Source organism: Homo sapiens, chromosome 16, assembly GCF_000001405.40.
Source record: "Homo sapiens chromosome 16, GRCh38.p14 Primary Assembly".
In the NCBI taxonomy this organism is placed as follows: Eukaryota; Metazoa; Chordata; class Mammalia; order Primates; family Hominidae; genus Homo; species Homo sapiens.
In genome coordinates, this window is record NC_000016.10 from 57,036,707 (window position 1) to 57,061,172 (window position 24,466).

At 52.1% G+C, this 24,466-nt stretch overlaps 1 protein-coding gene across 45 annotated transcripts in view, besides 6 other annotated features; it reads left to right on the forward strand.

Annotated features, from left to right (window-relative positions):
* Nucleotides 1–24,466, forward strand: part of NLRC5 (NLR family CARD domain containing 5) — a 93,964-nt gene that overhangs the window by 47,150 nt on the left and 22,348 nt on the right. For 12 of the 45 annotated variants that reach the window (NR_169514.1, NM_001384950.1, NM_032206.5 and 9 more), the window contains 16 exons: nucleotides 489–578; nucleotides 3,075–3,143; nucleotides 3,944–4,012; nucleotides 4,779–4,868; nucleotides 5,276–5,359; nucleotides 6,809–6,898; nucleotides 8,742–8,786; nucleotides 9,846–9,935; nucleotides 10,839–10,922; nucleotides 14,832–14,915; nucleotides 18,045–18,134; nucleotides 18,326–18,388; nucleotides 18,727–18,813; nucleotides 21,359–21,442; nucleotides 22,266–22,355; nucleotides 22,761–22,826. Coding sequence is in view for 35 of the 45 variants with exons in the window: in NM_001384950.1 (NP_001371879.1) it covers nucleotides 489–578; nucleotides 3,075–3,143; nucleotides 3,944–4,012; nucleotides 4,779–4,868; nucleotides 5,276–5,359; nucleotides 6,809–6,898; nucleotides 8,742–8,786; nucleotides 9,846–9,935; nucleotides 10,839–10,922; nucleotides 14,832–14,915; nucleotides 18,045–18,134; nucleotides 18,326–18,388; nucleotides 18,727–18,813; nucleotides 21,359–21,442; nucleotides 22,266–22,355; nucleotides 22,761–22,826 (1,275 nt within the window). In the remaining 10 variants the exon portion in view is untranslated. Of the gene's footprint in view, nucleotides 1–488; nucleotides 579–3,074; nucleotides 3,144–3,943; nucleotides 4,013–4,778; nucleotides 4,869–5,275; nucleotides 5,360–6,808; nucleotides 6,899–7,789; nucleotides 8,032–8,690; nucleotides 8,787–9,845; nucleotides 9,936–10,838; nucleotides 10,923–11,036; nucleotides 11,516–14,831; nucleotides 14,916–18,044; nucleotides 18,135–18,325; nucleotides 18,389–18,726; nucleotides 18,814–21,358; nucleotides 21,443–22,265; nucleotides 22,356–22,702; nucleotides 22,827–24,466 lie in introns of those variants that run through there. The other 33 variants (NR_169518.1, NM_001384953.1, NM_001384957.1 and 30 more) reach the window with 14 other exon arrangements.
* Nucleotides 2,691–2,890: an enhancer, noted in NCBI's record as "active region_10875". NCBI's record gives its function as "activates an Ori minimal core promoter by ATAC-STARR-seq in GM12878 lymphoblastoid cells {active_cell/tissue: GM12878}" and the evidence as "EXISTENCE:reporter gene assay evidence [ECO:0000049][PMID:35858748]".
* Nucleotides 5,127–5,176: an enhancer, noted in NCBI's record as "active region_10876". NCBI's record gives its function as "activates an Ori minimal core promoter by ATAC-STARR-seq in GM12878 lymphoblastoid cells {active_cell/tissue: GM12878}" and the evidence as "EXISTENCE:reporter gene assay evidence [ECO:0000049][PMID:35858748]".
* Nucleotides 5,447–5,546: an enhancer, noted in NCBI's record as "active region_10877". NCBI's record gives its function as "activates an Ori minimal core promoter by ATAC-STARR-seq in GM12878 lymphoblastoid cells {active_cell/tissue: GM12878}" and the evidence as "EXISTENCE:reporter gene assay evidence [ECO:0000049][PMID:35858748]".
* Nucleotides 9,093–9,152: an enhancer, noted in NCBI's record as "active region_10878". NCBI's record gives its function as "activates an Ori minimal core promoter by ATAC-STARR-seq in GM12878 lymphoblastoid cells {active_cell/tissue: GM12878}" and the evidence as "EXISTENCE:reporter gene assay evidence [ECO:0000049][PMID:35858748]".
* Nucleotides 9,403–9,582: an enhancer, noted in NCBI's record as "active region_10879". NCBI's record gives its function as "activates an Ori minimal core promoter by ATAC-STARR-seq in GM12878 lymphoblastoid cells {active_cell/tissue: GM12878}" and the evidence as "EXISTENCE:reporter gene assay evidence [ECO:0000049][PMID:35858748]".
* Nucleotides 11,216–11,305: an enhancer, noted in NCBI's record as "active region_10880". NCBI's record gives its function as "activates an Ori minimal core promoter by ATAC-STARR-seq in GM12878 lymphoblastoid cells {active_cell/tissue: GM12878}" and the evidence as "EXISTENCE:reporter gene assay evidence [ECO:0000049][PMID:35858748]".

The window sequence follows — 24,466 nt, forward strand, 5'->3', positions numbered from 1 at the left end:
TGGGGAGTGTTGAGATTGGGTAGCAGTGGTTTGGGGCCTCAGCTTTGGATTTCAATCTTCGCTCTGTCACTTAGTAGCATTGTGAACCTGGGAAAGTAATTGAATGTCTCTGGGCCTCGGTTTCCCCTCTGTAAAATGGGATCACATGAAACCATATATGTACAAAGCCTTTTGTACAGAGTCTGGTATAGTCAGGGCTCAGAAAATGGTGGTTATTTTACAGATGAGAAAACTGGGGGTCAGAGAGGTGAAAACACTGAGTTCTTGCTGTCAAGCTGGACAACTTTATTTTCCAAATGGGATGGGGGTGTCATGCATTTTTTGGCTTACTCACACGCACCAGAATCCTTTGAGATCCCCTGGCAAGGGACCTAGGACATCCAGGAGTGACAGCCAGCAAGCTGCTGAGCCACAGGGAGGGGCTAGAGCTGGCTGGGGCTGGGTACCTCAGCCACATGCCAACGGCTGCCTTCTCCTGCTCTCCACAGCCTCAGTAACAACGGGCTTTCTGTGGCCGGGGTGCATTGTGTGCTGAGGGCCGTGAGTGCGTGCTGGACCCTGGCAGAGCTGCACATCAGGTGGGAGCTCCCTCAGACCACGGTACCCATCCCCCCCCCCATCATGCTCTCTCTGAAGCCCTTGGAATTCCTTCTGGGCCCAGGCCTTGGGACGGGCAGAAGATGCTGCTGCTGTCCCACCCAGACCCCGTTACAGCCGGCACCCCTCTTCCTAGCTGCTGTGGATATAGGCTGCTCATGGTTTATACCTCTGGAGAACTACCCTTGGCTGATAAGAACCAGAGACGCCTGGCAGGGTACAACCCCCACTTTCCCCTAACCTAGAGTGGCCAATGACAGAGGCAGAGGGCACAACTCTCCAGCCCAAACTCTCCAGTGGGACAAAGCTCCCTGGGAGACTAGGCCAAGGACTTGCTCCGTTTGGCTTCCCTCAGTCCCTTACTGTTTCTCCTGAGAGCAGACCGTCAGTTCATGATGTGCGCAACTGACAAGTGACATGCGACCCCCTACCCCACTCACAGACCCAGGCTCTGCCACTAGGGAACCCAATCCTATTTCTGTAAGTCTCGCCGTTGAGTATGGGGAGGTGAGGACAGATGATGATTAATGTCAACTCAGTTCCCACTCGGAGGAAAGCCTCATTCTCAACCCAGTAGGGTGGTCCCTGCTTTAAACACCCCTCAAGGGAGGAGAGGGAAACCGATTCACCCAAAAGGTAGATTAGGGGACCTTGGTTCACTGTATATGATGATTCAATAAAGGGTCCCTAGTGCATTCCAAGCGATGCCCTGTTCACTTCCAGGAACTTATACTAAATAAATTATCACGATTGTGCAAACACATTTAGCTGTAGGGATGTTCACCTCAGTATTGGTTATAATAGGAAAAAAAAAGAAAATAGCTGGAATGTTTAACCGAGGGATATTAGTTAGACTAAGTTACTTCCAGAGAGAACTCAGTGGAACCATAGAAAAAAAAATGATAATATAGGTGCAGTTTCAATATGGAGGGGTGACGGGGAGTTATTAAGTAAACATAAAGAAATTTCTTTAGAGACAGGATCTTGCTCTGTTACCAAGGCTGGAGTACAGTGACACAATCACAGCTCACTGTAACCTCCAAATCCTGGGCTCAGCAATCCATCTCTCTTAGTCTCCCAAAGTGCTGGGATTACAGTCATGAGTCACTATGCCTGGCAATTTTTTTTATTTTTAGTAGAGAGAGGGTCTTGCTATATTGACCAGGCTGTTCTCAAACTCCCGAGCTCATGTGATCCTCCTGCCCTGGCCTCCCAAAGAGCAAGGATTATAGGTATGAACCACTGCACCAGGCCAAACATAAAAATTTTAACTCATTATCTTAAAAGATTATAAAAGATTATAATAAAGCTTTTCAAGATATGCAATGGCAGAAAGAATGGTATAATCTGGGCCAGGTGCTGTGGCTCATGCTGTAAACCCAGCACTTTGGGAGGCTGAGGCAGGGGGATCACCTGAGGTCAGGAGTTCAAGACCAGCCTGGCCAATAGGATGAAACCCCGTCTCTACTAAAAATACAAAAACTAGCTGGGCATGGTGGCGTGCACCTGTAATTCCAGCTACTCAGGAGGCTGAGGCAGGAGAATCGCTGGAACCTGGGAGGCGGAGGTTGCAGTGAGCCGAGATCATGCCACTGCACTCCAGCCTGGGAGACAGAGCAAGACTCTGTCTCAAATTAAAAAAAAAAAAAAAAAAAGAGAGAGCATGGTATATATAATCTGTTCCCATCAATAATGATCAAGTATTAATAATTATTTGTCATCCCTGCTTCTAGCCCTTAAAAAACTAATGTTTAAAAAGAGAATCTATAGTTTAATCCCATGTTTGTAAAACAAAAATTATTGCACTAGAAAATGGAAGGTTTGAAGGACTCACTCCAAAGGTTACCAGGGGTAATCCACACATACTTTGAGCACAGACAGAACACTGACTAGCAGAGAGAGGGGTTTCAGTCTGGGGCTAAAAGAGAGAACACAGAATTTGTTTTCTTTTAAGACTTGCCAGGAAATGGGGCTTACTTAGGCAATAGATACATTTGTGAAATATCTGTGGTAGAAAGATTTCAGCCCTCCAAAAGCTCAGAGGAAGTCAGAGGGGAGTCAGAGGAAGTGGCTGCAGCTGGAGGCAGGGGGATGGAACTTGAGAGGTCCTCCCGGGCCAGGGGTAAAAAGTGACAGGCCGGGCACGGTGGCTCACACCTATCATCCCAGCACTTTGGGAAGCAAAGGTGGGAGGATCACCTGAGCCCAGAAGTTCGAGACCAGAGTAGACAACATAGACTGTCTCTACATACTTTTTTTTTTAATTAGCTGGGCCTGATGGCACAAGCCTGTAATCCCAGCTACTCAGGAGGCTGAAGTGGGAGGATTGCTTGAGCCCAGGAGGTGGAGGCTTCAGTGAGCCATGATTGCACCACTGCACACCAGCTTGGGCAACAGACTGAGACCTTCTCTCAAAAAGAAATAGTAACAGGGAGCCAATAACCTCTCGCTTCCTCACCCCTCTTTTGTCTTCACAGCCTGCAGCACAAAACTGTGATCTTCATGTTTGCCCAGGAGCCAGAGGAGCAGAAGGGGCCCCAGGAGAGGTAGGGCCCGATTTCACCCCAACTCCATGCTCAGTCAGGGACATTCCCCTCTCTACCCTCCACAGCTGGGCAGTGCCAGTCAGTCAACTGCCAGGGTGACCTGGACAAATTCACGGAAGAGCGGGAAGTGAGCAGGCTTGGCAAAGGATGCAGCCCCAAAGGGGGAGGGTCCAAATCCAGACCACCTCCGCCTCTCATGGTGCCTGAAAGGAGCCCCAGTGTGTAGGATATAGACAGCAGGCCAGGGCAGGAGTTGGGTAGCCAGAGGGGGATTCCGGGAGACTAGAGCCCTCCAGCTTAAACCCAGGGGATTGCCTGGCCTGTAGCTCTGGTCCTGGTCGGAACTTCTGTATCCCTTTCACACAAGGACCCATTAGGGTCCTGGATTGCCCCAGCCTAGCGCATGGGTAGAGACTCAGCTCTTTGCTCCCGGAGCCCACCCACAATCTCTTCTGTAGAGTCTGGACTACTGAAGGCTCGATTCCAGCTGGGGCTGACATCTCTGAAGCACAGATGAGGAGGAGGATGAGATTAATGATAATAGCAGTCAAGGTCAATTGAGTACTTGCCATGTATGCACCAAGCACCAAACTAAGGCAGTTCACATACAGTCTCCCATTGAGAGGCTGTGATTTGTCCAGGGTCACACAACCAGGAAGTGGAGAAGCCAAATTGGCACCAAGGTCTGATTGACTCTAGGTGGAGGATAGGGCTCGATGGTGGAAGGCCAGGCTGAGGATGGATTCTGGAGATGGCGGACATGGCCTTTGCTCAGCCTGGCCTTGGTGATGTCCCTCCAGGGCTGCATTTCTTGACAGCCTCATGCTCCAGATGCCCTCTGAGCTGCCTCTGAGCTCCCGAAGGATGAGGTACAGTGATGGCCTCCAGCCCTGTGTGTGATTCCAGCCCCCTCCCTTCCCCTGCTCAGAGCCTGCTCCCAAACCTGTGCCCAGGCCCCACATGCTCCCTGAAGGACACCTGACCTGCTGTGTCCAGGGGTCATGGCCTGGCTTCCCTACCTCCTACCTCCCCTGCCCAGCCCACCCCAGACAGGGCTCACAAGGCAGCCCCGTCAACCACCTTCCCAAGCCCAGGAGACCCCACTCCCCTTAGCTCCCTGACCCCCAGCAGCTGAGGGGTTGTGGAGACTCTGAAAAGAGGTGAAGGGGAGCACTGGGCTCCTTCTGTCATGATCCTGGTGCCTGGGCCTGGGGGCTCCCATCAGCACTCTTCCCCCCTTCTCTCTTGGTCTTTGTCTGTCCTAATCTCCCTCTGTCCCTCTGCCTGTTTCTCTCATTTCTTCCCTCTCTCATCGTGTATTTCTGTTTTATCAGTTTATTTAACTGTTATTTCAGTCTTATCTGTCTTCCTCTGATCTGCTCTCTCTCTCTGAGGTCTCTGTGCCTTGGTTTCCTTCCATCTGTGTCTCTGCCCACCCTCTGCCTATATGTGACATCCTGTGGGTGTCGTGTGTGTTGGTCCCTCTTTGTCCGTCTGTCTAGGTGCCAGATACATCCCAGTCCCTCCTCTCCTGCAAGCCTCATTCTCTGCCTCTGTGTCTGGGGGGTGGGAAAGCGGCTCCTTCCCGCCTCTGTTCAGTGGGGCATGCAGCACTGTGTTTTTGTCCCTGGGCAGGCTGACACATTGTGGCCTCCAAGAAAAGCACCTAGAGCAGCTCTGCAAGGCTCTGGGAGGAAGCTGCCACCTCGGTCACCTCCACCTCGAGTGAGTGGTTTGTGTGTTGGAAGGTGGGTGGGTGGGGCCAATTACAGTGAGTTAGTGTTGGTGTTTGGGTTTGGTTTTTAAGATTTAGATCAACTGTTCTTTCCCTGCTGAAGTCAGAAACCCCTTGGAGAATCTGGTGAAAGTTGTGACTCTTCCTCCCAAGATACAGATCCCCCATGTCTGACACGCTCGGAGGCTCACCCCTGGTCCCTCAGAGGTCCACGAACCTCAGAATAAGAACCTGGGGGAGACCCCAGCTGCCCGTGCCAGATCTGCTGAGATCTGGCCTGGCAGCCCAGGGCTGTGTCCAGTTTCAGGAAGTTGAGTAACTGGAATGCAGGGACCATGCTGCCAGCAACCCACTCCCCACCTGCTAATGTTCTCCCCTCCCTTCTCCCCACCCCCAGCTTCTCAGGCAATGCTCTGGGGGATGAAGGTGCAGCCCGGCTGGCTCAGCTGCTCCCAGGGCTGGGAGCTCTGCAGTCCTTGAAGTGAGTAGCCCGCTAGGCAGAGCCTCTGAGGCTGGGGCAGGGGGGGAGCATTCTCTGTCCCATCCCCCTCTTTCCTGGGGTTATTGTAAAGATTAAATCGGAAAATGCATGAAAATTGCCCCTAATACAATGTAAGTTCTCGGTGAAGGCTAGCTAATAGATGATTCTTACTCAGAGAGTCTGTGACTCAATAATCCCACTTCTGATTCAAGGTTTCACTTCTGGAACCTGTCTCCGCATCTCTGAACAGGCTTCTGAGGCCACCCTGGGGAGGGCAGGTGTGGGTGCGAAGTATGACTAACGGCTGGCAGTTGTTATTCTGGCCCTGGGGTGCCGGGAGGGGCTGGGGCTGTTAGCTGGGGTATGGTCAGGGTAGACAGGGAGGGTTTGTACCAGAGAGGACACTCAAGCAGGGTGCCCAGGGCTGCCAAGGATCCCTGAGTACCTGGCAGAGAGTGTGTAGGAGGAATCCCCAAAGTTTGCCTGCAATGGACCAGAGTTCTTGATCCCTAAATGCCCTTGGTGCTTTTGGCTCACAAAGCACCCCCTCCTCCCAGGCACTTCTGGGCCAAAGCCAGAGGAGCCCAGGGGAGAGGTCACAGGTCCTATATTCCAGGCTGTCTCTGTGAACACGCTTTGCTGTGTGATTCTGGGCAAGTTACATCCCCTCTCCGAGTCCCTGGTTCCCAGTCGGTAAATACATAAATTGCAGGCGTGGCCTCTGTTGGTGGCTACGATCTCTGAAATGAGTGCTGGGGCCTAAGGACCCCCTGCTCACACCCTGTTTTTGTGCAATGCTGGGAAGGAAGGGAGTTGCCTTGGTTCCTGTTCAGGGCCTGCACCTGGGAAGGAAGGAAGGTCTAACCATTGCAGGCAAATTACATGAAGACTGGAGGTTTTAGTATGTCCTCATGTGACCTTCTTATTAGTGTGGACTCGTGACCTGGTGCTGTGAGGGTCCACACTCGCCCTACCAGTGTCCCCGTGGGAGGGGAGTGTAGCATTAAATAGTAAATAGAAAACAATAACAAGTTGACAGGAGACCCTGAAAGAAAGGAGACACTTTGTTCCTGCTTTCTGCACAAGAGACCCTGCATTTTCATTTTGTCCTGGGTACCACCCCTCCCTTATCAGGTGGAGAAAAGGAGGCCCAGCTCCAGCCAGAAAGCACTCCTCAGATCCATCACAGACCGAGGGACCCACTGGGTGCCCATCTCAGCTCTGTCACCAACATGTCTCATAACCTTGGGCTAGACCTTGATTCTCTCTAGGACTCTGTTTCCCCATCTCCACCATGAGGACTTGCAAGGGGTGCTCTCTGACCATCTTGGGTTCAGTGGGTTCCGTCATCTGGAACCAGGGATCCCTCCCCCGCCCTGTGCCCTGACCACAAAGAGGATGTGTTTGGGTCCTGAGTGACCTCCATTGTGCCACCCCTGTGATCTCCAGCCTCAGTGAGAACGGTTTGTCCCTGGATGCCGTGTTGGGTTTGGTTCGGTGCTTCTCCACTCTGCAGTGGCTCTTCCGCTTGGACATCAGGTGAGCGTGCCTCTCCGCCCCCAGCCCTGCCCCTGTCCCCCATCCCACAGGTCATCTGCTCCCACGTGGGCCCCTTGTCCACCAGTTTCATGCCAACCTGTCATCCTCAGCACCTTGGGCAGTACCAGATCTGCAGAGCATGTGATGGGCGTCCACTGAATGAATGAATGATCAAATGAATGAATAAGTATGGCCTCACGGATGCTCAAATTTCTCCAAATTCACCATTAGAGAGTTCATTGACTCTGCCTCACTCGTTCTTTGGATAGTCCTTAGAGATTTTTTTTTTTAGGATTTTTTTTTTAATTATTATACTTTAAGTTCTAGGGTACATGTGCACAACATACAGGTTTGTTACATATGTATACATGTGCCATGTTGGTATGCTGCAGAGACTTTTAAGAAAACTGGGGGCCAGGCGCGGTGGCTCACGCCTGTAATCCCAGCATTTTGGGAGGCCAAGGTGGGCGGATCACGTGAGGTCAGGAGTTTGAGAACAGCCTGGCCAACAGGGTGAAACCCTGTCTCTGCTAAAAATACCAAAAAAAAAAAAAAAAGTATCTGGGCGTGGTTGTGAGCCCTTGTAGTGCCAGCCGCTCAGGAGTCAGGAGAATCACTTGAACCCAGGAGGCGAAGGTTGCAGTGAGCTGAGATCGTGCCACTGCACTCCAGCCTGGGCGACAGAGTGAGACTCCATCTCAAAAAAAAAAAGAAAAGAAAAGAAAACTGGGAGCTTCCTAGTTGCCACTGGGGACTCAGGGACCTGTCTTAATTGTGGGAGCTGATGAGAATATAAAAGGGGAGGCACCAGCCAGCCAAGCCACCCCAGGCACTCAGGGCACCGCATCCATGATTTTCAGGGGAGGTCTGCTTCCCTTTCCCTTCCCTAAGGACCCCCAAGAATGGGAGGTGCCACAGCAGATGGACCAGGCTCAGTTACTTAACTGCTGCGAGCTCAGAGCAGGTCCCAGAGCCTCTCCAGGCCTCAGTTTCCTCATCTGTAAAATGGAGATAAGAATAATTACTGGCCTGGCACAGTGGCTCAAGCCTGTAATCCCAGCACTTTGGGAGGCCAAGACAGGAGGAGGAGGATCACCTGAGCCTAGGAGTTTGAGACCAGCCTGGACAACATGGTGAGACCCCCCCATCTCTACAGAAACTTTAAAAATTAGCCAAGCGTGATGGCATGCACCTACTTGGGAGGCTGAGGTGGGAGGATTGCTTAGACTCAGGAGATCGAGGCTACAGTGAGTTGTGATCACACCATTGCACTCCAGCCTGGGCAACAGAGCAAGACTCTGTCTCAAAGAAAAAAAAATGTCAGGCACAATGGCTCACATCTGTAATTCCAGCACTTTGGGAGGCTAAGGCAGGAGGATCGTTTGAGCCATGGAGTTTGAGACCAGCCTGCTCAACATGGCAAAACCCCATCTCTACAAAAAATACAAAAATTAGACAGTCATGGTGGGGCGTTCCTGTAGTCCCAGCTACTTGGGAGGCTGAGGCAGTAGGATCAGTTGAGCCCGGGGAAGGTTGAGGCTGCAGTGAGCCATGACTGCACCACTGCACACCAGCCTGGGCGACAGAGCAAGACCCTTTCTTCGAAACAACAACAAAGAAGAATTTCTTACCTCATTGTTTATTGTGAGAATCAAATGAGAAATGTCGATGGTGTGCTTTGCATGTGACTTGATACATGTAATTGTTGCTTAATCTATTCCTTGTTTGCTAAGAAAGCAGGCCACCCCAGGCCCTCCTTGCCCTGACCAGTCTGGGTTCTTGCCACTGCCAGGGAAGTTGGTCTTTGACCATTTTCAAACTGCTGCTTCCTCTCTGCTTCCAGCTTTGAAAGCCAACACATCCTCCTGAGAGGGGACAAGACAAGCAGGTGAGGAGGGAACGCTCGGGGTGGGGGAGTCCCCTCCCGCTCTGGTCCCCGTCTGTTGGAGGTCCCCCCACCCCCAGACCCATGCTGACCACTCAGCTCTCAGTTAAACCACCCAAGTCCGGCACACTAGGTTTAATCACCACTTCAGTAACCACCGCCCCCCCCATAAATTGTCAGTAATCAACTGCCCTGTTTTCCCCTTGGAAGGAGGCAATGCAGATGGGAGGAAGGGAGGGATATGGTTGGGAGAGGTCCCAGAGCAGGGCAGGTGCCCGCAGATTGCTGCTGTGTGGGAGGAGACAGGAGAACATTTGTGCTTCTGCGTTTCGGGGAATTTTGTAGACCCACCGCTCCATACATGTCACTGCCCTTTCACGCTCTGAAGGCAGGGGCCGTGGGTGCTCTGAAAAAACATTTTCCCCGTCTTCGCAGTAAACAACCAATACTAGTTTAGCTCTTCATGATGTTCCCGGCTGCCCTCTAGTGGGACCAGGCCTCTTGGCCTCACTTGGGAGCAGTGGCAGCGGACAGGGTGGGCCCATGTGCAGCTGGCTGGGTGGAGAGAGTCACAGCTAGTGTGTCAAGAAAAGGCACTGCCGTACAGATGGGCTGTCAGGAGTCAGGGGTGGCTCAAGCCTGGGTGGTCTTGCTTCCCAGGATAGGATCTCTGTTTCTGGGGAACCCCCGGGTTCTTGAGGCCCAAAGAACTGACGTACAGGGAGGCAGAAGTCATGTGATGCCAAGCAGTGGTCAGAGAGGCTCTGTCTTGGGTCCTCCTGCCTGCTCACCTGGACAGGAACAAGCTGCTGGCTTTTCTAACTCAGGCTTCCCTTCCCTGAGCCTCAGTTTCCCCATCTGAACAATGAGGGACTGAGCTAGGATCTAGTGACTGCATTGTCTCTGAGATGCCTTCCAGCCCTGACTTTCCAAGTCTGGGAGTCCAATGTGGGTGATCTGAACTTTCCTTTCTAAACGATCCCCCTCCTAGGGGTATATGGGCTGGGCTGGGAGTCCGAGGGGGTGATCTGAACTTTCCTTTCTAAATGATCCCCCTCCTAGGGATATGTGGGCCACTGGATCTTTGCCAGACTTCCCAGCTGCAGCCAAGTTCTTAGGGTTCCGTCAGCGCTGCATCCCCAGGAGCCTCTGGTACTGTCCCAGCCCTTCTTGTTTGGGGGTAACCATAATAGGGATGAGGCGTCAGAGGGGGCAGAGCTGGCAGGGGGCTAGGGCTGGGGATTGGGATAGAGGGAAGAGAGGGAGTTTAAGAGAAAAGGAAAAGAAAGAGGCGTGGGTGTGAGGGGTGCTGGGAGTTGGGGAGCTCTGGCCCCTGACGGGCAGCTCAGCTGGCCCATGCCCCGCATTCTCCTTGGAGAGAAGATTCCACATTTCTGTGAAGCAAACAGAGCAGCTCAGCCACTCCCTGCCTGGGGTCTCCATCTGCTCTGGGGGACACCCACTTTCCAGAAAGAAAGGGGTTGGCCTGTCTCCCCACTAATACACTCCCCATCTGCAAGCTCTGCCATGAGAGGCTGTGAGACCCTGACTTGGCCCCACCTCTCTCTAGGCCTCCAGGGAAGTGGAGGCAAGTGAGGCCCTGGGAAGGACATTTCAATTTCACTGTTAGCCCCAGGGCAATGGGGAGCCACGGGGGTAACAGGGAGAGGCCTGGTCAGATGTGCAGTGTTAAAATGTGAGACACTTGTGGGGCAGAGAGGGATTAAAGGGAGGCAAGAGTGGAAGCCCAGAGGGTGTTAAATGGTCAAGGTGAGTGAGGATGGTGGCCTGGGCTCTGGAGGGGGCGGTGGGGAGGACTTGGAGAGTCACTGACAAGGGCAGCTGGGAACTCAGGGTCCTGCACTGTCACTGTCAGGGCAGGAGGATTGGGGGCTGCAGGGGAGACTCGAGAGGGAAGCGAGTGCCCCACAGGGGAAGGGGCCTGTGGCCTCCCACTTAGAGTGAGGGATGCTGGGAGAAGGATAGAGCCCCTGGGGCTAGCCAGGGACCCTGGGCTTTCTCTGATTCCCTGCCCTGCCCATTGCCCCTTTGCAGCCTCAGTGAGTGTCCTCTGGAGCCCCCAAGCCTCACCCGCCTCTGTGCCACTCTGAAGGACTGCCCGGGACCCCTGGAACTGCAGTAAGTAACGAGGACACAGCCCCAGAGGGCACCATGTGGGGATCTGCCCAGTGACCTGGGAGGGGGCTTCTTGGTTAGAAGACAGGTGAGTCTTTCTCGATTTCTTCCCACCAGCCCTGCCCCATGAGAGTCCCCTGGCCTTTGGTAGAAACTTGGCTGTCTCTCGGCAGCCCCCAGCCTTAGGCAGCGCATGTCTCCCACTGGGAGATGCTGTGCTGGACTGGGGAAGCCTTCACCTGCACCATCCACTCAACTCAGGGCACCTGGGAGCCCTGTCCACCTCCAACCCCACCCCTGGAGCCTCACCAGGGCACCCACTTGAACCTGCCTGCATGGCTGGAGCGTAGCACTTCTGAAAGCCCTTCCTCAAGGCACCCCCACTCTCCTTGGGGTTACCACCTCACTCGCCCCAGAACATCTGGGTCTGTAACCAGAGACTGGACCTGGAATCAGGACTCTTGGCTCAAAAGGGATTTAACTCCCCGGGCCTCAGCTTCTTCATCTGCACAGTGGATGGTCAGCCTTTCCTTTTATTGTCATTGTGGTGATTCTATTATAGTAATTACCTTAAAATAAAGAAATCCAAGACAAAACCTGCCTCACCTAAACAACCTCTTCTCTCATCAAATCCATGTTGTCATGTGTCCACAGGACTGTCTACTCCTTGCCTATTTGCATATTCAGTTTCTACCTGTTTGCAGTCATAAACTAGTTTCATGCACTGTGTTTTCATAGCATCTGTGTTTTCCATTTTGCTTCAGTCTTTTTTCTTGCTTTCTAGCCCCCATCTCAAATGCCCTTCCAGCCCTTCCAACCAGATAATCCGGTTTGACCCCCTGGAGTGTGGCCTTCCCATGTCCTTCTCCAGGTTCAAACATATAACCACAAAACCATTATCAGACCTACACTATTTTTTTTTTCTGAGACAGAGTTTTGCTCTTGTTGCCCAGGCTGGAGTGCAATGGCGTGATCTCGGCTTGCTGCCACCTCTGCCTCCTGGGTTCAAGCAATTCTCCTGCCTCAGCCTCCTGAGTAGCTGGGATTACAGGCGCCCGCCATCATGCCTGGCTAATTTTTGTATTTTTAGTAGAGGCAGGGTTTCACCATGTTGGCCAGGCTGGTCTCGAACTCCTGACCTCAAGTGATCCACCTTCCTCAGCCTCCCAAAGTGTTGGGATTACAGGCTTGAGCCACTGCACCTGGCCCAGACCTACCCTATTAATGGCAATTCCTTAAAGTCAACCAATGGTCAGTGGTCCCTGATTGTCTCTTACCTGTTTTCACAGAGTATATACTGATGCCTTTTAATACTAAATTGCCACAGTACGGGACGAGCTGCAAGTTACTCCACCACACCCTTCTAGAGTCTAGATCAAGGGTGTCCAATCTTTTGGCTTCCCTGGGCCACATTGGAAGAAGAAAAAGAATTGTCTTGGGCCACACATAAAATACACTAACACTAGCGATAGCTGATGTGCTAAAAAAAAAAAACAAAACTCCAAAGAAAAATCTCATAGTGTTTTAAGAAAGTTTACGAATTTTTGTTAGGCCGTATTCAAAGCCATCCTAGGCTGCATGCAGCAGGCCATGTGGCTTGGACAACTTGGTCTAGATTGAAATCCAAACTGCTTCTAGGTGTTGTGTTTTGTTTTGTGTAGCACTGCAGTCAGTGCTACAAAAAGCACTCTTACGTGATTTGACTGTTAAGTACCTATTGTATACCATGCACTGGGCCAGATCCTGGGAACACAAGGAGACTGGGATGCGGGCTCTGCTGGCCAAGGCAAATCATCTGCAGAGGAAGCTTAATATAAAAAGCCCACTGGCGGCCCGGCACGGTGACTCACGCCTATAATCCCAGCACTTTGGGAGGCCGAGGTGGCTGGATCATGAGGTCAGGAGTTCGAGACTAGCCTGGCCAACATAGTGAAACCCCATCTCTACTAAAAATACAAAAATTAGCCAGGCATGGTGGTGCACCCCTGTAATCCCAGCTACTCTGGAGGCAGGCAGGAGACTTGCTTGAACCCGGGAGGCAGAGATTGTGGTGAGCCAAGACTGCGCCACTGTCCTCCAGCCTGGGCAACAGAGCAAGACTCTGTCTCAAATAAATAAATAAATAAATAAATAAATAAATAAATAAAGCCCACTGGCAGCACTGGGCGGTCTGAGCACAGGTGGGAGTTTCAGGTCCCCCTCCATTACCTGTGGTTGGGGAAAGTGCAATAGTGAATATGAAAGCACTTTGTCAACTGTAGAGTACTGTGATCACTTGCAGGATTATTGCTATAAATAGTCATCAAGGTACTCAATGCTGAAGTCCAGTGATTCCCCGGGGTTCCACCGGGGAAGCCAGGGAAGATAGATTGTGGGGCTCCATCCCCCCTCCCTGAATTCAAGCACTGCAGGTCTACTTTGCCTGTGTACACATGGGCATACCATGTGGGATGTGGTAAAGAGTAAAGATTCCATTGCTTTAAAAAAAAAAAAAAGGAGGGTGTAATCACCTCCTTTGCCAACCAGAGCCCATGGTGTATTTGGGGGTCTGGTGGGACACCATACGGGATGTGTTTCTGGAAAGACCACCCTCAATAAAGGCCCCAGTCCTGACTGTGCCTCAGGGGCCCATGCCCAGTCCCTGGGGCAGAAAGGGTAGAGTTGGGCCTCCAGCCTGGGCCCTGGCAGAGGCTCCAACATGAGGCTGCTCCTCCCGCCCTACCCTGCCCCCCAGCTCACTGAGCCAGTTGATGTAGGGCCCCTGTACTCCATGCCTCCCCTCCAAACAGCCAGAGGAGAAAGCAGCAGAGATGGGCCAGGCCCTTGGAGGCCCCGGAGAGGGGAGAGGGCAGCCTGCAGAGGATGAAGGAACAGAAAGAGAGGAAGGGGGAGGTGGAGAAGGCAGAAGGAGAACATAGTAGAGGTCTGCGGGGGTTGGGAAGTGGCTCCAGGCCCCCCAGGAAGGGGCTGTAGGTAAACCCCAGGGAACTCAGTGTCTTGAGTTGTCCTGGTCCTCCATCTAGAGCAGAGACAGCAAGGCAGGTATCTGGAGTTTCTCCTAAATGCACTGGGTTCTGACGAATTATCTGAACAATGATGAGCTGGTTGGTCTGGTGTTAATGGGCAACTAGAGACCCAAGCCAGTCCCTGTCTCCTTCGCTGACCTGTTGTATGCTGAATTTCCACTGTCATATCCACTCCTCTGGGTTAAGGCAGCATTGTTTTCTTTTCTTTTTTATTTTTTTGAGATAGAGACTCGCTCTGTCACCCAGGCTGGAGTGCAGTGGTACGATCTTGGCTCACTGCAACCTCTGCCTCCCAGGTTCAAGTGATTCCCATGCCTCAGCCTCCTGAGTAGCTATTACTACAGGTGTGCACCACCACGCCTGGCTAATTTTTTTTTCGTTTTTTGTAGTAGAGGTGGAATTTCACCATGTTGCCCAGGCTGGTCCCAGACTCCTGACCTCAGATGATCCACCCACCTCAGCCTCCCAAAGTGCTGCGATTACAGGCATGAGCCACCATGCCCAGCTGCATTCTTTTCTTAACAAACATGTTTTGCGGAACACTAACCTTCATGGCCCTTAAAAATTAATTCTGCTAGTCCATTTAGTTTGGGGAAAAGTCTGCTGTAGCTCCTTGGAAATTCATAATGCACAGCAGCCTATCGCAGCCTCAGAGAAGCCCTGCAGCAAACAAAACCATTTAATTTGGCTTAACCCCGTATTTCCCAAACTTAAAAGACCTTCCTCTTCTTCCAGCCTCACGGATAACCCATGGACCCAGTGCTGGGAGGGAATGTTTCAGGTGACCCTGGTTAGGTCCCATCTCCAGAAGGCTCTGGCTATGAGGCCGTGCTCCCTGCTTTCCTGGAAGGTTTCCCCCACCTCATCCACCTGCTTTGTTTCACAGATTGTCCTGTGAGTTCCTGAGTGACCAGAGCCTGGAGACTCTACTGGACTGCTTACCTCAACTCCCTCAGCTGAGCCTGCTGCAGTAAGACGAGAGTTTTTCCTATTTCCCGGTTCCTTGTGCTCGTGTTTCTAAGGCTCCTCCATGGCAAAGCTGTACCTGCCCTCTAACCCCTCAACCCCCCGCCTTTACCCCCTCCAACCCCCTCTACCCGCTCCATTCTTTCCTTAGGTTGTTTTATCATTTTACCTGGCACAACTGGGGACTCCAATCTGCTTCCAGCTCCACCCTAATACTTTGTCAACCTCAGGGGGCGTCGTTTGCCTCCTCTGCGTCTCAGTTTCCTCATCTGACAAATGGGATTAATATTCCCCGCCCATTCCCCCAGAGTTGGGACTCAAATAAGTTATTCTAAAATCACCTTAAGAAATGGAAGATCTGTGACAAATGAGCTGTCCAACTTCTCCCCACCCACGGAGGGTCACCCACTCGTAGAAAGGGGCTGTACAGATGTAGGTCCTGTACTTATCACATGCTGCTTTTTAAAGGTCACCGTCAAACTCGCAAAAAGGGAATTTAAGCAGAATTCCCCCAAAGTATTAAAACTATTTTCTAATTTCAGCTCAGACTGGTTAGAATTTTAAAAGTATTTAGGCCATGTGTGGTGGCTCATGCCTGTAATCCCGGCACTTTGGGAGGCCGAGGCGGGCAGATCACCTGAGGTCAGGAGTTTGAGACCAGCCTGGCCAATGTGGTGAAACCCCGTCTCTACTAAAAATACAAAAATTAGCCCGGTGTGGTGGTGGGTGCCTGTAATTCCAGCTACTTGGGAGGCTGAGGCAGGAGAATTGCTTGAACTTGGGAGGCGGAGGTTGCAGTGAGCCGAGATCGCGCCATTGCACTCCAGCTTGGGCGACAAGAGTGAAACTCCATCTCAGAAAAAAAAAAAGAAAAAAAGAAAAAGAAAGAATTTTAGAAGGATTTACTTTAAACAGTCTTCTAGTGGTGGGAGGCGGGGTGGGAAGCAGCTGCAGCTAAGATGAAAAAATACAGCAGGAAAGTAAATCATAATGTTAATAACATCGGTGCAAAGGCTGGGGCTCTCTGGGATGTCTAAGATGGCTCGCATCACCTCCAGGATCTCGCTTATGCTTGGGTTTTATCTGGGAGGGAGGGAGGAGACGTGACAACATTCCAGGGGCAAGTACAGCCCAGCTCACAGCACCCCATGGCACCCTGTAATAGTCCCACCCTGCCCGGAGATAATGAGTCAGAAAGGACTCCTTTGGACATAAAAGGTGGCAGGTTAAAATTGAACAGGTTGGAAACCTCAGACCGGAGAGGAACTTCTCTTTGCCTAAATCACACAGCTTCACCCCTGACTCCTCGTCCGCCTTTGGAGTGGCGTGGCCAGCCTGACCCCTTGCCAGGGTTTAAACTTTGTAGTACTCAACGTGTAGTGCTTGTGGCCCTACTGTGGGCCAGGCATTGTGTGACGACACAGCAGAAAAAGTTGACCATGTCCTTATCTTCTTGGAGCTCCTCTTACAATAGTGGGAGCTGAAAAATAAGTAAAGTAAAATCAAATAAGATGAACTTAGCCAGTGATAAGAGAATTTTCTCGGGATGTGGTGAAGAGTGGCTGGAGAGGTGATTTAGATGTGGCAGAAGCCATCAGGGAACATCTCTGAGGAGGGATGCTGAGCTGGGACCTAAAGGAAGAGAGAGAGCTCGCCTTGTGAAGAGCAGGGAACTGCATTCCAGGCAGAGGGAACGGCATGTGTGAGGCCCTGAGGCATGATTAAGCTTGGTGGGCTCCAGGAACAGCGCGGAACCGAGACAGCCAGAGCACAGTGACTGGCAGGGACAGTCCTAGGAGAGGAGGAAGAGAGAGATGGGCTCGGGTTGGGTTGCATGGGGCCTGGCACCCATGGGGAGAGTTTAGACTTTTGTTCCTGGGAACATGAAAGGGAGAGGAATAATTTGGGTTTTCTTTCTTTCTTTTTTGTGGGGGAGGGTCTCGCTCTGTCACACAGGCTGGAGTGCAATGGCGCAATCTCGGCTCACTGCAACCTCCGCCTCCCAGGTTCAGGCAATTCTTGTGCCTCAGCCTCCCAAGTAGCTGGGATTACAGGCGTGCACCATCATGCCCAGCTAATTTTTGTATTTTTAGTAGAGACAGAGTTTAACCATGTTGACCATGCTGGTCTCAAACTCCCGACCTCAAGTGATCCGCCCGCCTCGGCTTCCCAAAGTACTGAGATTACAGGCAGGAGCCACTGCACCCGTTCCTCATTTGGGTTTTCAAAAGTTCAGACTGAGTGCTGGGTAGAGAATGGATTGGGAGATACGAGTGGAAATGAGAGTGGGAAGAGATGTGTGCAGCAGGGTGAAGGGTGCTGGGGGCTGATCACTGCTGGGGTGGGATAGAAGTTGGTAGACTCAGGGTGGATCTTGAGAGTGGAATTTACAGACAAGCTGATAGGGGGATTACTGGATGAGGCAAATGGAGGTGCTGAGGCTGCCTCTGAGGGCAGAGTGGACCCATCTCACTTTCTCTAAGGCAGTGGTTTCCAACTGGGGGTGATTTTCACCCTTGGGAGTCATTTGGAAATATCTGGAGATATTTTTGGTGGTCATGACTGCGGGTGAGGGGTGCTGCTACTGGCATCGAATGAATAGAGATCTGGGATGCTGCTGAACATCCTATAGGGCACAGGAGAGCCCACAACAAAGAATTATTGGACCTCACATCTCAATAGTGCTAAGGTTTAAAAACTGTGTCTGAAGGGCCTGAAGCTTCCCACTCTCTGTGAGCAAGGACTCGCCTGTGAAATCTGTGCTTGCAGGTAAAAACAATAGTAATAATAACAGCAAGCACAGGTCCCATGCCCGGCAGTGCACCTGCATGATGTAATTAAATCCTCATATACCTCGAGAGTCATACATGACGAGTCTTGATTTCCAGATAAGGAAACTGAAGCTCAGAGAGGTGAAGTCACTTCTCCAAGGTCACACAGCCAATAAGCAGAACTGGGACTCAAATCCAAATCTGCCTGTCCCTCAGCCCTATTTGTGCCTCTTGATCCCCTGCCTGCTTCCCTATTGCCTTGCTGAGCTGCTAGCCCTCCCCACCCTCCCTTTCCTTACCCTCCAGGCTAGCCAGGTTCCTTGTCCACTCATCTTGCCGGATCTACCCCCTTTCCTTTTCAGGCTGAGCCAGACGGGACTGTCCCCGAAAAGCCCCTTCCTGCTGGCCAACACCTTAAGCCTGTGTCCACGGGTTAAAAAGGTGGATCTCAGGTGGGCATTCCCCTGGGACAGCCAGGACTCGTCCTGAAGGGTTGTGCCTGGAGTCTGGTGGGTATGAGGGGGTAGGATGAAGACAGTAGGACCCAACTAGAGGCTGGGCTTCCGGAGGAGGGGTGCTGGCCCCGTGGGGGCATCCTGAGGCTGTGGCCACAGCTGTCTGACCCAGGTCCTGTCTGATCCAGGTCCCTGCACCATGCAACTTTGCACTTCAGATCCAACGAGGAGGAGGAAGGCGTGTGCTGTGGGTAAGCCCCCTTGAACCATGCCTAGGCAGCTAGTTGATGTTGGGGACCAGTAGATCTGCCTCCTGGGTGGCCAGAGCAGTATGCAGACTGCCTACCACAAAACATTCCCCTGGAACAACCCTGCAGAGGGACTTGTTTCACCCAGCATGAAGAAACACAGGTCCGGGTGGGATCTACTGTGGGGGTGGGAGCAGTGGATTCTGGACACTTCCAGAGGGTCCAAGCTTGAGTGGAGACCCACCTGGAGCCCAGAGGCTGTGCCCTGGGCTAGCCAGGCCGGAGGGGGTCTCAGTGGCCAAACGCCCCATCCCCTGCTTGTCCCCTTTACCTCCGTCCAGCAGGTTCACAGGCTGCAGCCTCAGCCAGGAGCACGTAGAGTCACTCTGCTGGTTGCTGAGCAAGTGTAAAGACCTCAGCCAGGTGGAGTAAGTTGAGGGAGGAGGAGGAAGGAGAGGAGCATGGACGCATGCCTGAGGGGCACTGAAGGGGGTATGAGGGTCCGTGTGTGCACATACACTCATGTGTGCCTGCCTACACCTCTCAGGACCAGCTGTCAGGGATGCCTGGGTCACATACCCAAAGCTTCCCTGAATCAATTTTCTCTCTCCCGCCCCCACTCTCGCCATGGTGGAGCTAGTTCCATGGTGTGCCCTCTGACTTGGGCAGCCCTCAGCCTCAAGTATGTGCAAGCTCTGCTGGCAGATGGGGGCTAAAACGCAGGATTCATTGTTGGCCCAGCAGGTGGTTAAAAGTACCGGATGACTCTGCCTGAGGAGGGACGCAGAGCCAGCCAGGGTGGGGTCTTGCAGTCTCTTGTATTGTTGAGATGTGGTATCTGCGTGGCCTGTCTTGGATATTCAAATAGTCAGCCCCTGCATGGGTGGAATAATAATAGCTAACAGCTACTGAGCACTTTCTCCACTGTTCTAAGTGCTTGACATGTTCTTTTTATGTTTCCCATATCCCTGGATACTAGTATTGTTCTCATTTTACAGATGAGGGAACTGAGACACAGAGGGTGTAAGAACTTGCCCAAGGTCACACAGCTAGTAAAATGCAGAGTCCCTGCTCAGACGCATTGGGAATCCAGCCTAGGACCAGTGGGAAATAGAGAGAGCAGTCCGCCAAAAATGCCACACAATTTTCATTTCTGTTGTGATGTGGCAGAGAAGAAAAATGTGACTGATAAAATCATGGATTTCTTTTTTTTTTAAGACCTGGGGTCTCACTCTGTTGCCCAGGCTGGAGTGCAGTGGTGCAATGATAGGTCACTGCAGCCTCCAACTCCTGGGCTCAAGCGATCCTCCCACCTCAGCCTCTGGAGTAGCTGGGACTACAGGCACACACCAACATGCCTGGCTAATAGTTTAGTTTTGTAAGAGATGAAGTCTCACCATGTTCCCCAGGTTGGTCTCAAACTTCTGAGCTCAGGTGATCCTCAGCCTCCCAGGTTGCTGAGATTACAGGCATGAGCCGCTGTGCTTGGAATGTATTTTAAACAGATATGAATAAGAAATATGTCTTTGAGTTTTTTGTTTTTCATTATAGAGGGAAATTTTTCTTTTCTTTCTTTCTTTTTTTTTAGATGGAGTCTTTCTCTGCTGCCCAGGCTGGAATGCAGTGGCGCAATTTCGGCTCACTGCAACTTCCGCCTCCCAGGTTCAAGCAATTCTCCTGCCTCAGCCTCCCAAGGAGCTGAGATTACAGGCATGAGCCACCATGCCTGGCTAATTTTGGTATTTTTAGTAGAGACGGGGTTTCACCATGTTGGCCAGGCTGGTCTTGAACTCCTGACCTCAGGCGATCCGCCTGCCTCGCCCTCCCAAAGTGCTGGGATTACAGCCTTGAGCCACCGCACCCAGCCAATTTTTCTTATTTTAAAGACTATTTTATTAAGTGGCTTCATAAGACAGACCAATTTTTAAATGACGTTTCTCAGGAAAAGATGAAATTAACAAACATCAAAAATGTCACAGACCTAGGAGGAAAATCAGATGTTCCGGGACACACTGGTTATATTATTTCTGAAACTGTAGTTAAAACTAGCTGGGCGTGGTGGCTCACGCCTGTAATCCCAGCACTTTGGGAGGCCAAAGCGGGTGGATCACCTGAGGTCAGGAGTTTGAGACCAGCCTGATCAACATGGTGAAAACCCGTCTCTACTAAAAATACAAAAATAATTAGCCAGGCATAGTGGCACATGCCTGTAATCCCAGCTACTTGGGAGGCTGAGGCAGGAGAATCTCTTGAACCTGGGAGACAGAGGTCGCAGTGAGCCAAGATCGTGCCATTGCACTCCAGCCTGGGCAACAGAGCAAGACTCCATCTCAAAATAAATAAATAAATAAAACCACAGAATGCTGCAATGAAGGGAAGTAAGAAACTTCAGGTGAGGTTTCCAATATTGATATTGCATTCCCAGATTAAAAGAAGAAATCTATGGGTTTAATGCATCCTGCAAACATTTTTTTTTCCTGAATTTCCTCTCATTCAAAAACTGTGGATCCCAAATGATGCCGGCCAAGGGCGTGGTGAAGGCAAATTGGTTTTTCTTTAACCCTTGAAAGCCTGCTGGAGGCACCTGAGCTATGAGTGGTCACCCGATATGGAAGAGGACCAAGAGGATGGGTTTACTGTGGTGCTGGGGAGGGGATAGTAGCAGAGAACGTAGGAGTTGCTGGTCATTCTAGTGGTGATGGAAGGGATGGTGATGGTGGTACTGGGCTTGGTGGTGTAGAATTGTGGTGATAATGAAAGTGGTGGTGGTGATGGTGGTAATACTGGTGGTGGTGACATTGGTGGTGGTGGTGATGGTGGTGATACTGGTGATGGTGGTGATGGTGGTGGCGCTGGTGACCCTGACATGGGGTCCAGTAGCAGTGACAGTGGATGCAGGCTCCTGGTGACTGAGGAGCATCTCAGGCTGAGGAGGCACCTCTGATCCCCGCCACTGCTCCTTACCCCCTACAGTCTCTCAGCAAACCTGCTGGGCGACAGCGGACTCAGATGCCTTCTGGAATGTCTGCCGCAGGTGCCCATCTCCGGTTTGCTTGAGTAAGTGGAAAGCAGCATAAAGGACAGATAGCAAGGAGGAAGGCTCCCCTAGGCCAAAAGCATGATGGGGGCTCCTTCTGAGGGCATCCCCCAGAGCACCAGAGGACAAGGACTGTGGAGGGCAAGGGGCAATTCTTCCCTTGCCTTCACTCCCCTGGCCTTGGGTCCTTTCCTCTGTCCCTCACACCCACCATGGGCAGATCCTCCACCAAACACCCAAGAGAGGCTGTGATTCGTGGCAGGGTGACACACCCCTACAGCCAAACTGACCTGGGGACAGGGAAGCAACATTCCATCCCCAACCAGCTGATGCGGGATTGCAGCTGCCTGGCTCCTGGTCCATCCCGTCCCTGAAATTCTTCTGACCCAATCTGTGGAACATAAATGTGGAGATGTCCCTGTGGCAGGCAAGGGGCCTTAGGAAGTCATCCACATGGTTGCCCCATCTCTCCCGTGACCTGCTGGAGTGACAGCCAGCTCCAGGACACCACTTGTTGCTAGGCAACTGAGCTTCGTGCTCGGGAGTCCTTGACCCATGCGGGGCTAGAGCTGCCAGCCTGGCCTTGCCAGTGCCCAGACCCCAGACCACAGGGGCAGCGGGCAGGGTGAGTGCAGCGCTCAAGGACTCAGGGTCTGGTGCCAGTTCTGCCTGTGTGGGGATGGTATCCTTCTGGGCCTCAGTGTGTCCATCTGGAGAATAGATGCTTAGACATGGAGGCTTCTCTTCTTGGAAATGACAGCTGGAAGGGAGATGGAGGGGGCTGGGCAGGGCTCCAAGGAGGTCCTGCCCTCACTCCCATTCTCATCTCCATTTCCCTTCTAGTCTGAGTCACAACAGCATTTCTCAGGAAAGTGCCCTGTACCTGCTGGAGACACTGCCCTCCTGCCCACGTGTCCGGGAGGCCTCAGTGAAGTAAGGGGATGTTGGTCCCCGAAAAGCCCCTTTCTGCTGGCCAACAGGTGCCCCTGGCTGATGATGGGAGAAGCAAGGCACCCACACTTTGTGGCCTTCCATCTGGGTGGCTTGGAGCAACCTCTGCCTTTCTCTGAATCTCAGGGTTTCCTGGGCATGGGATCATAATTTCTATCCCCTGATGCCCGGGTGCCATGGGGACCATGGAGGCCATGGGGTGGGAAGGCCAGGTATTGCCATGCTCACAGAATGAGTTTGGGGGTCTCCTCTGGTTCTGAGGCCTCCATCCTCCCTTGTCCTTGTGGGTGCAGCCCCGCTTCCCTCTCTGTGCCCTGTGGGTGCCCTAGGTGCCTAGGAAGCTGGCATGTCTGGGCACCGTGCTTCCCCAGGCCCTTCTCTCTGCAGCCTGGGCTCTGAGCAGAGCTTCCGGATTCACTTCTCCAGAGAGGACCAGGCTGGGAAGACACTCAGGTAATCCCTGCAGGGTGATGGGACAGGGGACAGAGAGGGGAGAGGAGGCTGACCCTATGGCGGCCTCCATGGCCCCCTCTTCCCTGGGCCCTCTCCTCCTTTAGAGAGCAGCTTCAAGCTCACTGCCTGGGTCTGTTCCTCCAGATCTGCCCCCGATGCCCTGGTAACTCCAGTCTCAGCCAGGGCCTTGGCATTGAACTTGTGCCTCTTAGCCCACCATCCTAAGCCCAACTCAGCCCAACATTCTCTTCCTTGCCATGTCCTGACTACAGGCCTTGAGGCTTCTGAGTGTCACGGTTAAAGATTTTGAAGCCAACTGAAAATAAATCCCTGATCTGCCACTTACCAGCTATGTGGCCCTGGACAAGTAAAATGGGGATAATAACACAACCTACCCCTTAGGGTTATTGTGAGGATTAAATGAGTTAATAAGTATAAAGTGCCAGGAAAAGGTCTGGCTCATGGGAGTGCTGTCAGCAGTTATTGTAACTGTTATTATTATTATTATTATTATTATTATTATTATCATTATCATTACCCCTGGTAGCCCTGACTCACTGCCACGGCCAGTTCCTTTACATGTCTTACTTCAGCTGTGAACAGGGCCTCCAAACTGATCCCTGCATCTTATCAGGCCTCCTCCCCTCCATTCACTCCACAGCCCCCAGAGGGATCTTCACAACACACATCTGACAGTGCCCCTCTGCTACTCTGTGCCCCTCAGTGGCTCCCCATTAACCCCAGGGTGAAGTTCAAAGTCCCTAGCATCTTCTCCCTCACAGTCTGATCCAACTGTCACCTTCCACCATGTTCCTTCCCACCTCCCCCACACCACACACACGCCCTACACACCAACCCATATACCACAGATACACCAAGCACACCCAAACACACCACACAGCACGCAGCACACACAACACACGCACACCACACAGCACACACAACACACAAACGCACCACATACCATACACATACCACATACACACACATACACCACACACACCACACAATACACACACCCCACAAAAACAAACCCCCCACATACATACCTGGCACATTACAAATACAGCACACACACCACATAATACCTACAAATACCACATACACAACACACACACACACACACAGTTCAGCCATAACCTTCACTATTTGCTCCTAGATCAAGCCCTGCCTGAAGATTCTCTGCCTCTGCTCACACCGCACTCAGCTCAACATTCTCTTCCTTGCCTTTTCTGAGATAAAATTCTCCCAATCCTTTAACACCCAGCTCAAACATCAGCCCCTCCTGGAAGTATCCCAGCAGCCCTGCCTCATCAGAGTGAACTGCCCCGAGGTTCACTGGGCCCTTTCACTTGGCTGGGCCCGTCTGCTGGCCACCCAGGGCTGAGATGCCTGGACAGCAGAGCCCCACGGAGAATCCCAGGCACACCTCCCTCCCCAGGGAGCTCAGCCAGTGCTGGTCCGGGAGAGTAAGGCAGTGGTTAAGAGCTTGGGGTCTGCAGTCAGACTGACCTGGATGGAAACCAGATTCTGCCCTTCTTTCTTATCTGCTGTGTGTCCTTGGGTTAGTCAGTTTCCCCACCTCTAATTGGTGCTATGAGAATTAAAGGAGACCCTGCGGGTAAGGCAGGAAGTCCCAT